The sequence below is a fragment of the Homo sapiens genome, chromosome 20, assembly GCF_000001405.40.
Source record: "Homo sapiens chromosome 20, GRCh38.p14 Primary Assembly".
In the NCBI taxonomy this organism is placed as follows: Eukaryota; Metazoa; Chordata; class Mammalia; order Primates; family Hominidae; genus Homo; species Homo sapiens.
Window position 1 is genome coordinate 25,559,357 of NC_000020.11, and position 17,419 is coordinate 25,576,775.

The 17,419-nt window shown below is 46.2% G+C and overlaps 1 protein-coding gene across 14 annotated transcripts in view, besides 2 other annotated features; it reads right to left on the reverse strand.

The window, feature by feature from the left end:
• The window catches only part of NINL (ninein like), a 132,835-nt gene that overhangs the window by 106,660 nt on the left and 8,756 nt on the right, over positions 1-17,419 (reverse strand). Inside the window, exon 1 of one of the 14 annotated variants that reach the window (XM_047440023.1) lies at positions 15,163-15,857. The exons of the other annotated variants lie outside the window; for them this stretch is intronic. Within the exon in view, the coding sequence (XP_047295979.1) occupies positions 15,163-15,229 (67 nt within the window). The 5' untranslated portion in view covers positions 15,230-15,857. Of the gene's footprint in view, positions 1-15,162; positions 15,858-17,419 lie in introns of those variants that run through there. 14 annotated transcript variants of the gene reach the window in all.
• Positions 1,393-1,922: an enhancer, noted in NCBI's record as "H3K27ac-H3K4me1 hESC enhancer chr20:25541385-25541914 (GRCh37/hg19 assembly coordinates)". NCBI's record gives its function as "activates a minimal SCP1, AML or CMV promoter by ChIP-STARR-seq in primed H9 embryonic stem cells {active_cell/tissue: H9 hESC(primed)}" and the evidence as "EXISTENCE:reporter gene assay evidence [ECO:0000049][PMID:30033119]".
• Positions 5,029-5,528: an enhancer, noted in NCBI's record as "H3K27ac hESC enhancer chr20:25545021-25545520 (GRCh37/hg19 assembly coordinates)". NCBI's record gives its function as "activates a minimal SCP1, AML or CMV promoter by ChIP-STARR-seq in primed H9 embryonic stem cells {active_cell/tissue: H9 hESC(primed)}" and the evidence as "EXISTENCE:reporter gene assay evidence [ECO:0000049][PMID:30033119]".

The window sequence follows — 17,419 nt, forward strand, 5'->3', positions numbered from 1 at the left end:
CAGCCTCCCAAATAGTTGGGACTACAGGTGCGTGCCGCCACACCCAACTAATTTTTGTATTTTTATTAGAGACGGGGTTTCACCATGTTGGCCAGGATGGTCTGGATCTCTTGACCTCGTAATCTGCCTGCCCCAGCCTCCCAAAGTGCTGGGATTACAGGCATCAGCCACCTCACCCAGCTGGGAGGGCCTTTTTCATTTTCCGTCTGCTTGGTCGTCACCAATCCATTCTCTATCTTGCCAGGTGTTTTGTTTTGGTTTTGAGACAGAATCTTAGTCTGTCATCCAGGCTGGAGTGCAATGGCCCCATCAGAGCTAATTGCAGCCTTGAACTCCTGGGCTCAAGTGATCCTCCTGATGCAGCCTCCGAAGTAGCTGTGACAACAGGCACACACCACCACACCCGACTATTTTTTTTTTTCTCGTTTTTTGTAAAGATGGGATCTCACTGTGTTGCCCATGCTGGTCTCAAACTCCTGGCCTCACACAATCTTCCCCCTTCAGCCTCCCAAACTGTTGGGATTACAGGCGTGAGCCAGCATGCCCCGCCTTGCATGATGCCTACGGTTTACATTGATTGTCGATTGATTGATTGAGACAGGGTCTTGCTCTGTCAGCCAGGCTGGAGTGTAGTGGTGTGAACATGACTCACCTCAGCCTTAACCTCCTGGGTTCAAGCGATCTTCCTCAAGCGATCTTCCACCCCAGACTCCCAAGTAGCTGGGACTACAGCCATGTGTCACAATACTCAGCTAATTTTTAAAATTTTTATAGACAGGGTCTTGCCTTGTTGCCCAGGCTGGTCTCCAACTCTTGGCCTTGGCCTCAGGCAATTCTTCACCTTAGCCTCCCAAAGTGCTGGGATTACAGATATAAGCCACCATGCCTGGCCTATTAAATACTGTTTAATGCCTATATGTGTAATTGACAGAAGTTGGTCTGAGACTCCCTTTCATTATAACCAGAGAGCAAGGTTATAATGAGGGGGAGTAACTACCTTTCATTCATTTCCAACTTCCTACGTGGCCAATCTCCTCTAGCAAAAGGAACCTAAAATTTGTAAATGACCAAACTGGCTAAGGTCAGTAGGCACTCATTATCCTAGAAGTCAGGTGGCCCTAATATATCTGTGCCACGATGGGCACAGGCATCCTGACTGAGCCAAGGCCTGGAGCCCAGCAGCCCTGAGTGCTGCAACAGCCAGTAATCTGCTCACTCTGGTTTCTGTCACTTCCCCAGGATCTTCAAGGAGTGGGCTGAAGATCTCTTTTTCTCCAGGAATCTATAGCCCCCTGTACCTCTGCTGGTTTTGGGGGGATCTCTCTCATGGAGTTTAATGTCTCCTTGCAAGGTATTCACTGTCTCCTCTTTCTAACCACAACCCCTCAAAGGAACCTAAGAGCCCTACAACGAAAGACAAGGAAGGAGGCAGCATCTGAGGGCTCTGAGAAGTAAATGACAGCCACAACAACAACAACAAAGATAGTAAAAATATCTTTCACGAATTAAGGTGAAAGAAAGACATTCTCAGATGAAAAAAAACAAGAAAATTTGCCACCAACAGACCTGCTCTAAAAGAAATGCTAAACAAAGTTCTTCAGCTCTCCCTCTCCCTCTCCCTCTCTCTCTCCCTCCTCTCCCTCTCCCTCTCTTTCCACGGTCTCCCTCTCCCTCTCCCCTCCTCTCCCTCTCCCTCTCTCTCTCTTTCCACGGTCTCCCTCTCATGCCGAGCCGAAGCTGGACTGTGCTGCTGCCATCTCGGCTCACTGCAACCTCCCTGCCTGATTCTCCTGCCTCAGCCTGCCGAGTGCCTGCGATTGCAGGCGCGCGCCGCCACGCCTGACGGGTTTTCCTATTTTTTTGGTGGAGAGGGGGTTTCGCTGTGTTGGCCGGGCTGGTCTCCAGCTCCTAAGCGCGAGTGATCCGCCAGCCTCGGCCTCCCGAGGTGCCGGGATTGCAGACGGAGTCTCGTTAACTCAGTGCTCAATGGTGCCCAGGCTGGAGTGCAGTGGTGTGATCTCGGCTACAACCTCCACCTCCCAGCCGTCTGCCTTGGCCCCCCAAAGTGCCGAGATTGCAGCCTCTGCCCGGCCGCTACCCCGTCTGGGAAATGAGGAGCGTCTCTGCCTGGCCGCCCATCGTCTGGGATGTGAGGAGCCCCTCTGCCTGGCTGCCCAGTCTGGAAAGTGAGAAGCGTCTCTGCCCGGCCGCCATCCCACCTAGGAAGTGAGGAGCACCTCTTCCCGGCCACCATCCCATCTAGGAAGTGAGGAGCGTCTCTGCCCAGCCGCCCATCGTCTGAGATGTGGGGAGCGCCTCTGCCCCGCCGCCCCGTCTGGGATGTGAGGAGCGCCTCGGCCCGGCCGCGACCCCGTCTGGGAGGTTAGGAGCGTCTCTGCCCAGCCGCCCCGTCTGAGAAGTGAGGAGACCCTCCGCCTGGCAACCGCCCCATCTGAGAAGTGAGGAGCCCCTCCGCCCGGCTGCCACCCCGTCTGGGAAGTGAGGAGCGTCTCCGCCCAGCAGCCACCCCGTCCGGAAGGGAGGTGGGGGTCAGCCCCCGCCAGGCCAGCCGCCCCGTCCGGGAGGGAGGTGGGGGGTCAGCCCCCCACCCGGCCAGCCACCCCATCCGGGAGGTGAGAGGCGCCTCTGCCCGGCCGCCCCTACTGGGAAGTGAGGAGCCCCTCTGCCCGGCCAGCCGCCCCGTCCGGGAGGCAGGTGGGGGGGTCAGCCCCCCGCCCAGCCAGCCGCCCCGTCCGGGAGGGAGGTGGGGGTGTCAGCCCCCCGCCAGGCGAGACGCCCCGTCCGGGAGGGAGGTGGGGGGTCAGCCCCCTGCCCGGCCAGCCGCCCCGTCCGGGAGGTGAGGGGCGCCTCTGCCCGGCCGCCCCTACTGGGAAGTGAGGAGCCCCTCTGCCCGGCCACCACCCCGTCTGGGAGGTGTACCCAACAGCTCATTGAGAACGGGCCATGATGACAATGGCGGTTTTGTGGAATAGAAAAGGGGGAAAGGTGGGGAAAAGATTGAGAAATCGGATGGTTGCTGTGTCTGTGTAGAAAGAAGTAGACATGGGAGACTTTTCATTTTGTTCTGTACTAAGAAAAATTCTTCTGCCTTGGGATCCTGTTGATCTGTGACCTTACCCCCAACCCTGTGCTCTCTGAAACATGTGCTGTGTCCACTCAGGGTTAAATGGATTAAGGGCGGTGCTAGATGTGCTTTGTTAAACAGATGCTTGAAGGCAGCATGCTCCTTAAGAGTCATCACCACTCCCTAATCTCAAGTACCCAGGGACACACACACTCTGCCTAGGAAAACCAGAGACCTTTGTTCACTTGTTTATCTGCTGACCTTCCCTCCACTATTGTCCTATGACCCTGCCAAATCCCCCTCTGCGAGAAACACCCAAGAATGATCAATAAAAAAAAAAAAACAAAAACAAAAACAAAGTTCTTCAGACAGAAGGGAAGTAATACCAGAGGGAAAACTGGAGTTTCAGGAATAAAGGAAGAGCAACAGAAATGACAAAGAGCAGGCTGGGCATGATGGCTCACACCTGTAATCCCAGCACTTTGGGAGGCTAAGGCGGGCAGATCACGAGGTCAGGAGATGAGACCATCCTGGCTAACACGGTGAAATCCCATCTCTACTAAAAATACAAAAAATTAGCTGGGCGTGGTGGCGGGCGCCTGTAGTCCCAGCTACTTAGGAGGCTGAGGCAGGAGAATGGCGTGAACCTGGGAGGTGGAGCTTGGAGTGAGCCAAGATGGCGCCACTGCACTCCAGCCTGGGCGACAGAGCAAGATTCCATCTCAAAATGACTAAGAGCTACATAAATAGACTATTTTCCTCTTCTTATGCTAGCTGAAGGCAAAATTTGTAACACTGTCTGAAGCAATTCTCAACATACCTAGATCTACAGCATAATGTGGTGGGTAAAGGAACTTGCATGGCAATATGGTTTCTACATTCCACTTCAAGTGGCACAATATTATTTCTAAGTAAACAAAGTTAAATATGAATACCATAATCCCTGCAGTAACCACTAAAATACCTATACAAAGATATATAGTCTAAACCTCAATAAATTGATTAAATGGAATACTGAGAAACATTCAAGAAATCCCAGAAAGAGAAATAAAACCTAATGAACAAAAAGAAAATAACAAAATGATACATCTATATCCAAACATATTAATAGTTACATTAAGTATAAATGGTCTAAACACACCAATTAAAGAGAAGGACTATCAGACTGAATGTTCTTTAAAACAGACCCAAACATATGCTACCTACAAGAAATCTTCTTCAAATATAAGTAGAAGGATGGAGAAAATACACCATGCAAATAATATTTTTTAATGTGAGACAGCCATATTAATATGAAAAGAGAGAGACTATGGAGTAAAGAAAATTACCAGAAATAAAGCAGGACATTAAATAATGATTTTTACAAGTCCATTTGCCAAGAAGACACAGAAATCCTAAATGTATACTTGTCCTTAGTGTCAAGAGATGAAAAAGAGAAGAAGAAGAAACAAATCATTAGATCAACAAAATACATAAAGCCAAAATGGATAGAACTGGCTGGGCGTGGTGGGTCATGCCTGTAATTCCAGCTCTTTGGGAGACCACGGCAAGAGGATTGCTTTAGCCCAGGAGACCAACCCGAGCAACAAAGCAAGACCTCATCTCTACAAAAAAATCAAAATATTAGCCCGGCATGGTAGCTGGGTGTGGTGGCACATACCTGTGGTCTCAGCTACTTGGGAGGCTGAGGTGGCTTTTTTTTTTTTCTTTTTTCTTTTTTTTTTTTGAGATGGAGTCTTGCTCTGTCACCCAGGCTGGAGTGCAGTGGTGCAATATCAGCTCACCGCAATCTCTGCCTCCCAGATTCAAGCAATTCTTCTGCCTCGGCCTCCCAAGTAGCTGAGATTACAGGCCTACTCTACCACACCCAGCTAATTAACTTTTTGTTTTTTTGAGACAGAGTTTTGCTCTTTTTGCCCAGGCTGGAATGCAATGGCACAATCTCAGCTCACTGCAACCTCCACCTCTTGGGTTCAACCCATTCTCCTGCCTCAGCCTCCTGTGTAGCTAAGATCACAGGCGCATGCCACCAGGCCCAACTAATTTTCATATTTTTAGTAGAGACAGAGTTTCACCATGTTGGTCAGGCTGGTCTTGAACTCCTGACTTCAGGTGATCTTTCTGCCTTGGCCTCCCAAAGTGTAGGGATTACAAGCGTGAGCCACCGCGCCCGGCCAATTTTTGTATTTTTAGTAGACACGGGGTTTCACCATGTTGGCCAGGCTGGTCTTGAACTCCTGACCTCAAGTGATCCACCTGCCTCAGCCTCCCAAAGTGCTGGGATTACAGGTGTGAGCCATTGCCCCATTTCTGTTCTAACATGTAAAGAGCCTGAAAGGTGCCATTTAAGTCCTCCCCACAATTAAAAAAAAAAAAAAGCTGAATAAAATAAAACTTCTTATATCCATCAGAGAACGAGGTCACAAGACAAACTCCTACCTAAAAACTGAAGAGACAGCGGGCAAATACAGAGATCACAGTTTTACCGAAGCAAAAGCCGAGTAAGCCAATAACTGGTAAAAACACATGGCAACTGATGATTGCTGGAAGCTGATTATAGACAAGTATAAGAGAAAATCCTGAGGCCCAATCTTTCAGGGTAGGGGCAGGAAGTGACATACTTTCATAAGTTTTGTTACATCTCCAAAAGCCTCACCAGATTCTCATGATGAAGACTGGAGAATAAAATAAATCCCCCACTCTTCGGACAGGTGGAGAGAGAGAAAAAAATAACCATTTTGAAATTCACTCAAAGAAAAGTAACCATTTTGAAAAATGCCCAGAACATTCTGTTTTCCATAACAAAGGCCTTCCATCCAGGAAAACTACTTTATCAGAACCTTATCTGGCCAAGGGAAAAGGAAAACTTGAAAAATGAAGCCTCCAGTAGCTTTCTGGATAACTTAATGGGGTGGGTGGGTCAGGGGAGGAAGAGAGAAAGAAAGGAGGGAAGAGGAGGAGGAGGGAGAGGGAAGAGAGGCAGGGAGGGAGGGAGGAAGACAGGCAGGCAGGCAAAGAAACTTCTGAAGTTCACAGTCCAGGAACTCAGACTTACTAAAAAACTGAGACTCACAGGATTACAGGACATTTTCCTTCCCTAATACCTTACCACCACATCAACAGGGCTGTAGTATAATCACAGTGAATTACAATGGAGGGGCAAGATAAAAACTTCACTTGTAATGGTTAATTTTTGGTGTCATCTTGACTGAATAAAGAAATACGTAGAAACCCGCTAGGGCATTATGTTTGGGTGAGTCTGTGATGGTGTTTCCAGGGCAGATTAGCATGGGAGTCTGAGTGGACTAGGTGGGGAAGATTTACCCTCAATGTGGGCAGGTACCATCTAATCTGCTGGGGGCCTGGAGAGAACAAAAACAGAGAAAAGGCAAATCTATCTGCTGAGCTGCCATGCACTCTTCCTCTCCTGTCCTGGAACAACAACTCCAGACTCCCAGCATTTGGACTCCAGGACTTACACTGGCGACCCCCGCAGGCTCTCTGAGCTTTGGCTTCAAATTGAGAGTTACATCATTGGTTTCCCTGGCTCTGAGGCCTTCAGACCTGGCCTCAGCCATGCTATTAGCATCCTAGGACCTCCAGTTGGCAGCCAGCCGGGCACTGGACTTTTCGGCCTCCACAGTCACATGAGTCAGTTCTCCTAACACATCCCCTCTCACATACCTATTATCCATAAATACACAGACAGATACCCTGTTGGTCTCTCTGGAGAACCCTCATACACCACTTAAGGAGTATCTAGAAAAATCCAAAAATAGTTGGGAAACAAAAATGGACACGGGAGGAATATGAAGCCTCTGCCATCTACAGCTACAATAAACATTAAACCCAGACTAACTGCCAGGCAGAGAAACACAAAACCTCACACTAAAGATCCATTTACTTAAGTTCCTATAGCCCAATCAATACATCATGTCCAGCTTTCAACAAACGATTATAAGATAAATTAAAGTCAAGAAAAAAAAAAAGTCTGAATACACAAAGCAAGCATCAGAACCCACCTCAGATCTGACAAAGATTTTGCAATGATCAGACTGAGACTTTCAGATAACTATGATTAACATGTGAGGGGCTGTAATGGGAAAAAGTGGACAACATACAAAAAGATGAGTAAGGTTCATAAAAATATGCAAACTCTAAGAAAGAATCAGAAGAAAATGCTAGAGATCAAAAACATTGTAACAGACCCGGCATGGTAACTCATGCCTGTAATCCCAGTGCTTTGGGAGGCCAAGGCAGGAGGCTTGCTGGAGCCCAGGAGTTTGAGGCTGCAGTGAGCTATTATTACACCACTGCACTCCAACCTAGGTGACACAGCAAGACCCATCTCTAAAACAAACAAACAACAACAACAACAACAACAAAAATGAAAACAAAGCAACACCATTGTAACAGAAATGAAGAATGCTGGCTGGGTGCAGTGGCTCACACCTGTAATCCTACCACTTCGGGAGGTTGAGGCAAGAGGGTCACTAGAGGCCAGGAGTTTGAGACCAGCCTGGGCAACACAGTGAGACAAAAAAAAATCTAAAAATTAGCCAGGCATGGTGGTGCATACCTATAGTCCCAGGAGTTTGAGGCTGCAGTGAACTATGATCTCACCACTACACTCCAACCTGGGCAGCAGAGTGAGACCCTGTCTCAAAAAAAAAATTTTCTTTTAAAACAATACCTTTGATGGGCTCATCAGTAGACTGCTCATGGTAGAGGAAAGAATCAACGAGCTTGAAAATATTTCAATAGAAACTTCACAAACTGAAAAGCAAAGAGAACAAAGAATAGGGGTGGTAGAGTGGAGGAAGAACAGAATCTTCAACAGCTATGAGACAATTATCAAAGGTGTAACACATGCATAATGGGAACATTAGAAGTAGAAAGAGAGGAAGAAATGTTTGAAGTAATAATGGCTGAGAATTTCCCCATACCACAGACTCAGGAAGCTCAGAGAGCACCACACAGGATAATACCAAAAAATCGAGGCCGAGGCCTATCATATTCAAATTGGAGAAAACCAAAAGAAAGACCTAGACCTATCATATTCAAATTGGAGAAAACCAAAAGAAAGACCTAGACCTATCATATTCAAACTGCAGGAACCCAAAACAAAGAGAAACCTGAAAGAAGCCAGAAGAAAAAAAACCCTTAGGAGCAAAGTTAAGTATTACATCAGACTTCTCATATACCATGAAGCCAAGAAAAAGATATTCTATATTTTGGGCCATAAAACATATATCAATACATTTAAAAGAATAGAAATAATACAAAATATGCTATCAGACCATAATAAAATTAAATTAGAATTCAGTAATAGAAAGATGCAACCGAAAATCTCCATGCACTTGAAAATTAAACAACACATCATTTCTCAATAATCCACTGGTCAAAGAGGACATTGCAAGAAAAAAATTAAATATATTAAACTGAATGAAATGAAATGCAACATACAAAAATCTGTGGGATACAGCTAAAGCAGTTCTCAGAGGAAAATTTATTATTAAATGCTTATAATAGAAAAGAAGGGCTTGAATCAATAATTTCAGCTTCCAGCTCAAGTAACTAGAAAAAAAGAGCAAAATAAACTGAAGCAAGCAGAAGAATGAAAATAACAAAGAGGGGAAATCAATAAAACTGAACGCAGAAAAGTAATAGAAAAAAAATCAGTAAAACCCAAAGCTGATTTTTGAAGTTCAATAAAATTGATAAACCTCTAGCAAAACTAACGAAGGGAAAAAAAGAGAAAGAATTTACAAATTTTCATTTGTCAGATCTCAAAAAAAAAAAGACAAACTGCCATTATTGGCAATAAAAGAGAGAATTGTATCTTTACAGATTCTGCAGGCATAATAGGATAATAAACTCCTATTATTTAGGAGTACTAAATAATAGGATACTATAAACTCCACACACATAAATTCAACAGTTTAGATTAAAAGGACCAATTTCTTTCTTACTTTTTTTTTTTAAAGACAGACTCTCACTCTGTCACCTAGTCGGGAAGAGTAGTGGCCTGATCATGGCTCATAGCAGCCTCAACCTCCTCCGCTCAAGCAATCCTCCTACCTCAGCCTCCTGAGTAGCTGTGACTACAGGCACGTGCCACCATGCCTGGCTTATTTTTTAAATTTTTTTGTAGAGACAGTGTCTCACTATGTTTCCCAGACTGGTCTCAAACTCCTGTGCTCGAGTGATCCTGCCACCTCAGCCTTCCAAAGTTCTGGGATTACAGGAGTAAGCCACCACACCCTGCCACCAATTTCTTAAAAACCACAATCAGAACTTTTCCAAGATGAAAGAGATGATCTGAATAGCAGCCCTGAAATTGAAGAAAGAAATTGAATTTGGAATTGAGTGTGGTGGCTCATCCCTATAATCCCAGTGCTTTGGGAGGCTGAGGCAGGAGGATCACTTGAGGCCAGGAGTTTGAGACCAGCCTGGGCAACACATTGAGACCCCTCCCTGTCTCTACAAAATATTTTTTTTTTTCCTGCTGGGTGTGGTGGCTCACACCTGTAATCCCAGCACTTTGGAAGGCCCAGGTGGGTAGATCACTTGAGGTCAGGAGTTTCTGAGACCAGCCTGGCCAACATGGTAAAACCCCGTTTCTACCAAAAAAATATTAGCCGGGCATGGTGATGCATGCCTGTAATCCCAGTTACTAGCAGGACTGAGACAGGAGAATCACTTGAACCCAGGAGGTGGAGGTTGCAGTGAGCCAGGATAGCGCCACTACACTCCAGCCTGGGTGACAGAGCGAGACTCTGTCTCAAAAAAAAAAAAAAAAATTAAATTAGAAATAAATTATATAAATTAAATTAGTAATAGAAAGATACAACAGGAAAATCTACAAACACTTGAAAACCAAACAGCAAGTTTGAATAACTTATCCTGCTGCAGGTGCATACATGCCAAGGAGTTTATACGTGTTTTTATTAAACAAGATAATTTACATTTACCTGGGAGCGTCTGTGATAATGCTTCCCAAGGGAGCGCCACAGTGCTGGGTTGGAGCAGCAGTAGGGTGGGATGCTGGTGCAGAAGCCACTGCATGCCTGCAGCTCTTCCACAGCAGCCAGCGGCCCATGTCTCAGAGCCTGGAGGGCAAGACAGCGATGAATGGAAGTGGGCAGGTCACCTCCTCCTGGGAGGCCCTGCAGGAGGCAGGAGAGATGTGGGTGCAGATATGTTCTGAGCGACACCTGAGAGGCCGACGACTGGTAACCCAGATTCCCTCAGAGGCAGAAGGCATGGCCTGGTGTGGAGCAAGCACGGAGGCGGAGGAAGCAGCCACAGGAAGAGCAGTCCTTCCTGAATGCAGCAGGGCCACAACTGAGCCCCACTACCCTTGTCACTATGGAAATGTCACGACTGTCAAGGAACCACCCAGAGCTTTCTCAGGAGCCTCGCTGGCACATCTGATTCTCTGTCAAAGCTAGGTACTGCAGCCGGGCGTGGTGGCTCACACTTGTAATCCCAGCACTTTGGGAGGCCAAGGTAGGAGGATCACTCAGAAGATGGAGGCCAGCCTGGCCAACATGGCAAAACCCTGTCTCCACTAAAAAAAAAAAAAAATTTTAGCTGGGCATGGTGGGCACCTGTAGTCCCAGCTACTTGGGAGGCTGAGGCAGGAGAATCGTTTTAACACAGGAGGCAGAGGGTGCAGTGAGCTGAGATTGGGCCATTGCACTCCAGCCTGGGCGACAGAGCAAAACTCTGTCTCAAAACAAAACAAAAGCTAGAAATTGCAGAGAAGAATTCATATAGACACCAATATGGTTTGGATCTGTGTCCTTGCCCAAACCTCATGTTCAACTATAATACTCAATGCCGGAGGTGGGGCCTGGTGGGAGGCAACTGGATTGTGGGGGCGGTTTCTCATGGGTAAGCACCATCCCCTTGGTGCTGTTGTCAGGATAGTGAGTTCTCATGAGATTTGGTTGTTTAAAGGCATGTGGCACCTCCTCGCTTGCTCTCTCATGCTCCTGCTCCCACTGTGTGAGCCACCTCACTCCCCACTCGCCTTCCGCCATGATTGGAAGCTCCCTGAGGCCTCCCCAGCAGCAGAAGCCGCTATGCTTCCTATACAGTTTGCAGAACCCTGAGCCAATTAAACCTCTCTTCTTTATAAATTACCCAGTCTAAGGTATTTCTTTATAGCAGTGCGAGAACGAACTAATACAGATACTTTTTTTTTTTTAGCTTTTCCAAAATGTCAGAGATCCTGGGCAAGTAGACTTTTTTTTTTTTTTTTTTTTTTTTGAGAAGGAGTTGCTCACTCTGTCACACAGGCTGGAGTGCAGTGGCGCAATCTCAGCTCACTGCAACCTCCACCTCCCAGGCTCATGCGATTCTCCTGCCTCAGCCTCTCGAGTAGCTGGGACTGCAGGCACACGCCACCATGCCTGGCTAATTTTTGTATTTTTTGTAAAGACGGGGTTTCACCATGTTGGCCAGGCTGGTCTCAAACTCCTGGCCTCAAGTGATCCATCCATCTCAGCCTTCCAAAGTGCTGGGCGTGAACCACCGCGCCCAGCCAAATCCTGGGCAAGTAGATGTTATTATTCTGAAAAAAACTGATGACTGCTCTATAAGTAGGTGTTGTCACCATGAAAGCTCCCCTTTCTCACTCATTAATAAGTAAGCCCCGATGGCTGGCTGGGTGAGGATGCCACAGCTTGCTACGACTATGATGTCTTTACTCCTGTAAGAACCACGTCAAAATATCCAGAAAAAGGAAGGCTGATCACGTAAGGGGATAATCTTGCCTTTCATTATAATAAGCAGGTTTCATAGCCACAGTACTGCTCATCATTAAGGAAACACAAATTAAAACAACTTAAGAAAGGGTTTCCCTCCCTGTCTCACCAGGGGCAAGGTGTCTGGCACGCCAGGGTCAAGGAGTGGGCCTGTGTGAGCCTGGCCAGCCCAGACCCTCCAGCACTCCTCGAAGGAGCCTGCTGGGAGGTTGTGATAAGAGAACTCAGTGCACACCTGCCCCAGCAGCAGCCTGAGTACACAGTGACAGGGCTGCAGGGAGGAAGGAAGGTGGAGACATTTTAGTCCAGAGAGAAGGAAAACAGGAAGACTTGGAAACTCTTCATGGAATGCTATTTAAAAGTTGCTTTAGGCTGGACACAGTGGCTCACACCTGGAATCCCAGTACTTTGGGAGGCTGAGGCAGGTGGATCACTTGAAGTCAGGAATTTCAGACCAGTGTGGCCAGCATGGTGAAACTCTGTCTCTACTAAAAATACAAAATTAGCTGGGCATAGTGGCACACGCCTGTAATCCCAGTTACTCAGGAGGCTGAGGCAGGAGAATTGCTTGAATCCTGGGAGGCAAAGGTTGCAGTGAACCAAGATCACACCACTGCACTCCAGCCTGGTCAAGAGAGTGAGACTCTGTCTGAAAAAAAAAAAAAAAAAAAAAAAAAAGGTTGCTTTAGCTCAGCAAAAAATCAAAATCCTAACAAAAGGGAAACACATCACGGTATATATTTTCAACAGCACTGAAGCTAACAGGCCATGTACTGTGTCAACATGCAGACACCTGTCTATAAAAACACTAACCAAGAGAACTCAGCAGAAGCCTAGCACACACAGCTTTCAACTCTGCAGAACGCATGTGCAGACACAGGAGGACATGAGGACAGACCCTGCAGGGTCACCACAGCATCTTAGTAATACAGTCTGTTCCTTTAAGTTGCCTAAGTTTATACTTTTTTGAAGTGTTTGCACATTTTGCCATTCTGAGTAGTTTTTTTTTTTTAATGAGACAATTGTTGCAATTTATTTTTGTTTCAGTCAAGTGACCTTAAAGGTTGAGGGGAAAAAAAACGGCCCCAGGAGATTTTCTTAACACTCCCTCCCTGGGAGTGCAGTGCTGGGGCCCACTCTCTGAGCTGTCAGAGCCACTGGAGAGGTGTCTCTACCACTGACCCCTCACTACGGTGCTTGCTTTTGTAATTATCTTTTGGTGATATAAAACTTGTATTTCTTGAGTGCTCATCATGTACTGGACACATTCCTAGGCACTTTGGAATTTATCCTTCTGAAGAAGGCACTATTATTACCCATTTTACAGGTGAGGAAATTGAGCCACAGAAGAGGCTAAGCAATTTGCCCAAGGTCACAGATCTGCTAAGTGAACTCACAGTGAGTGATAACGCCAGAGTTGGAACACAAACCTTTACATACTGCCCCATACCTACTAACAGCACACAAGCATATAAGGTAGTTTTGATAGTTTTCTAAAAGTTTTTCCATGAAATAAGTACAGGAATTTGATATCCAAAATACACGGAAAATGTCTCTTCCAGCTCTAAATCAACCTGAAAAGCCCTAGTGTCATGTAAGAATCTGTATTAGTAAACTGAATTATAAGGAAAGAATATTAACTTGCTTCCTCCCCAGAACAAAAAAGCAATACTTCAACCAAACATTCCACGTCCCGGTCCATTCTATCCATCTGTTATAAAACTGAGACACTTTCTCTTCCCCAGAACCTGGGTGTAACCTTTCTAGTTTCATGTTGACTATAAAGAAATAAAAGAATAGGCCAGGCGTGGTGGCTCACACCTGTAATCTCAGCACTTTGGGAGGCCGAGGCGGGCGGATCACCTGAGGTCTGAAGTTCCAGACCAGCCTGGCCAACATGGTGAAACCCTGTCTCTACTAAAAATACAAAAATTAGCTGGGCATGGTGGCACATGCCTGTAGTGCCAGCTACTCGGGAGGCTGAGGCAGGAGAATTGCTTGAACCTGGGAGGCGGAGGCTGCAGTGAGCCGAGATCACACCACTGCACTCCAGCCTGGGCGCCAAGAGCAAAACTCCATCTCAAAAAAAAAAAAAAATTAAAGAATAAAATAACATAGCCTATAAAATCTATGCTGAAAAATCCTAAGAACAGTCTACCCCTTTTCTCATGATTATTCCAACTTTCATATCTGAAATTCCAGCCATGCGATTAGGAGCCTAGAGGCATAACACACAACACTGATGCTCTTCTACGCTCTCTACACGTATCCTAAAGTGCACAGACTCTGACAGAGGCCTGAACATTTGGGGTTTCTATTTCTAAAGAATGAGCCTGCTGTGAAGGTCAGTGTCAACACCAACAATTCAAAGGCCCTAAAAGAGGATTCAGAATTGCCTGTCAACCTAAATGTAGATAAAACACAGCAATCTGAGGAGCCCATTGATGGGAAAATTACCATATTTTGCTATTGCAACTACTTGAAGTCCATGCCAAACAAAATAAACTAAAATAAAATGTTACAATCCTGGGCTGATGCAGTTTCCCCTGAGTCAACTAAAAAGACTTTGCATGGAACCATTTCTAAGTCTGACACACATAGAGTTCAAGGTCTGAGGAGACCTGAAAAGTTTCCAACATGGCGGTGACTAGGGACCCTGGAGCAGACAAGAGCCTGGAGCATCAGGCCATAGCCTGTTCCATACAGCACACCTGTTCCTGGTGGTCAGGAATGAATTCCCTGCAAGCATCCAGTGTAAAAATCACCCAGAAACAGGAACCAATAAGGGAAAGAAACCTGGGAAGGAGTGTGGGGAGTCAGGAAGCAGAGAAACCAGCCACACCCCTGCCCTTCACTGACGTCTGCGCTCAGAGCTGTTTGCCTAAAGTGTATCTGTTATTTGAATGATTCTAGTATAAATGACTGTTTCAAAAGTCCCCTATTTTAAATCACAGAATTTTAGAGCTTTATGGCACCTTAAATTCCCTTGTCCATTATCTCAACTGACTCAGGAAAACTATTCTCACTTGACAATGGAGAAAATGAAGCACAGACATCTGGATCCCAAAGTCATTTCAAGAAACAAAGCTAGTGTCTGTGCCATGGCATGGCTGGGCAAGGGCCTTGTGCCCACCACCGTCTTTTTTTTTTTTCTAGGAGAATGCTTTATTAGGCATAAAAATGCCATTGAAATGCTTTAAAATGCAACAGGAGGAGATGTGAAGACCCAAAGAACAAGTACACAGTGACACATGGCTATCAGAACACACGAAGTAAAGAATCCACACCGCTTCCACCCTTTACCCAGAAAGGGAAGGATCCAGGCCACCTCCTCCTCATGCATGCCCCACTTTACAGGAAGTGTCCACATCTCCCCTCCTAGACAGGTCCTGGAGCTCCTCCTGTTGGACCTTCTGGGGCCATCGGTGGCTAAATATCAGGTTTCTGTTCCTTGAGGGAGGAAACAGAGGAAGCACAGATTGGCATGGTAGATAGAGGTGCAGACAGAAATCCAGTCTGGAATATGTTGAGTTTAATGTAGCTACATGGTATGGGGGTGGAATCCTTGAGTGTAGATGTGGGCATGAGGGGCTGAAAAAATGTCACATGCAAAGCTCCTAGGAGTCTTCTTTTTTCCCACCTCCTCACATAACAGAGCCAGAGAAAAATACAGTATTTCATCAAATTTGAGATGCCACTAATTCTAAGACAAATGATGACGAAAAACTGCTGTCAAAATGTGACCCAGTGCTAAGATGGCATCAGTTTTTAAATGTACCCCCAAGTCAAAAATACTATCAAGCAAAGAAAAAAAAAGGTTTATCTTAGAATAGATGAAATATAGTAAACTTTTTATTGGTTGGAGGTCTTTAGATGGCAGTGAATATAGGACTAGCTTTTTAACTTGTTATTCTGAAAAACTTTCAAATGTATAGAAAATTTAAAAGAATAGGCCAGGTGCGGTGGCTCACACCTGTAATCCCAGCACTTTGGGAGGCCGAGGCGGGCGGATCATGAGGTCAGGAGATCGAGACCATCCTGGCTAACATGGTGAAACCCCGTCTCTACTAAAAATACAAAAATTAGCTGGGCGTGGTGGCAGGCGCCTGTAGTCCCAGCTACTCCAGAGGTTGAGGCAGGAGAATGGCATGAACCCAGAAGGCGGAGCTTGCAGTGAGCCGAGATTGCGCCACTACACTCCAGCCTGGGCAACAGAGCGAGACTCCGTCTCAAAAAAAAAAAAAAAAAAAGAATAGGCCAGGTGTGGTGGCTTGCGCCTGTAATCCCAGCACTTTGGGAGGGCAAGGTGGATGGATCATGAGGTCAGGAATTCGAGACCAGCTCGGCCAACATGGTGAAACCCCGTCTCTACTAAAAAGTAAAAAATTAGCTGGGCATGGTGGCGTGGGCCTGTAATCCCAGTTACTCAGGAGGCTGAGGCAGGAGAATTGTTGGAACCCAGGAGGCAAAGGTTGCAGTGAGCCGAGATCGCGCCATCCAGCCTGGGCGACAGAGCAAGTACTCAGTCTCAAAAAAAACACAAAACAACAAAAAAAAAAACTTGTAAGAATAGTACAAAAAATTCTCCAATACTCCCTCACTCGGCTGGCTTCACCACCTGTTTCCACTTTTCCCCTTTACCACAACCATTTTGTCATTTTCTCTCCCTCACTTCCTCCCTCCCTCCATATCATCTATCTACCCCTGCTCCTCTCCTTCTCCATTTGAAATCGGGTATCAGACTTTGTGCCCCTGTATCCCTAAATAGTTCAAAATGTATTCACTAAGCTCAAGGAGACAGTCACAGTACAACAAACTAGGGAAATTTGACATTTATACAATCCACCATTCAGATCAAATTCTGTCCATGGTGCCAACAATGTCCTTTACAGCTATCTTTTTCACCCCAGTCCAGTTTCCAATTCAGAGACAAGCACTGTACACGGTTTTCCTGTCCCTTTAAACCAGACCATTTTCTCAGTCTCTGTTTCTGAACTTTGAAGTCTTTGGAGTAGACACAGGCAGGGCGTTATGTAGAATGTCCCAGAGTCTGTCTGGTGTCTGCACAATTAGATTCAAGGGTGGCAGGAACACCTGGGTCAGGTGTGTCCTTGGCACATCTCATGGGGGGCACAGATGTCTCATAACTGGTGACAGTAACTGCAATCGCTTGGTTAGCATGGTGACTGCAGCAGGGTAGTCACCTTTATGTGAGTTTGAATTATGAGAAGTTTATTCATTTTTATTTTATTTTACTTTTTTGAGACAAGATCTTGCTCTGTTACCCAGGCTGGAGTGCGGTGGTGCATCCCCACTCACTGTAGCCTCCACTTCCCGTGCTCAAGTGATCCTCCTACCTCAGCTTCTCAAGTAGCTTGAACCACAGGCACATGCCACTGTGCCTAGCTAATTTTTCATTTTTTTTTGGTAGAGATGGGGTTTCAGTACATTGCCCAGGTTGGTCTCGAACTCCTGAACTCAAGAGATCCTCTCACCTCAGCCTCCCAAAGTTCTGGGATTACATGCATGTGCCACCGTGCCAGCCTGAGAATTTTAAGTG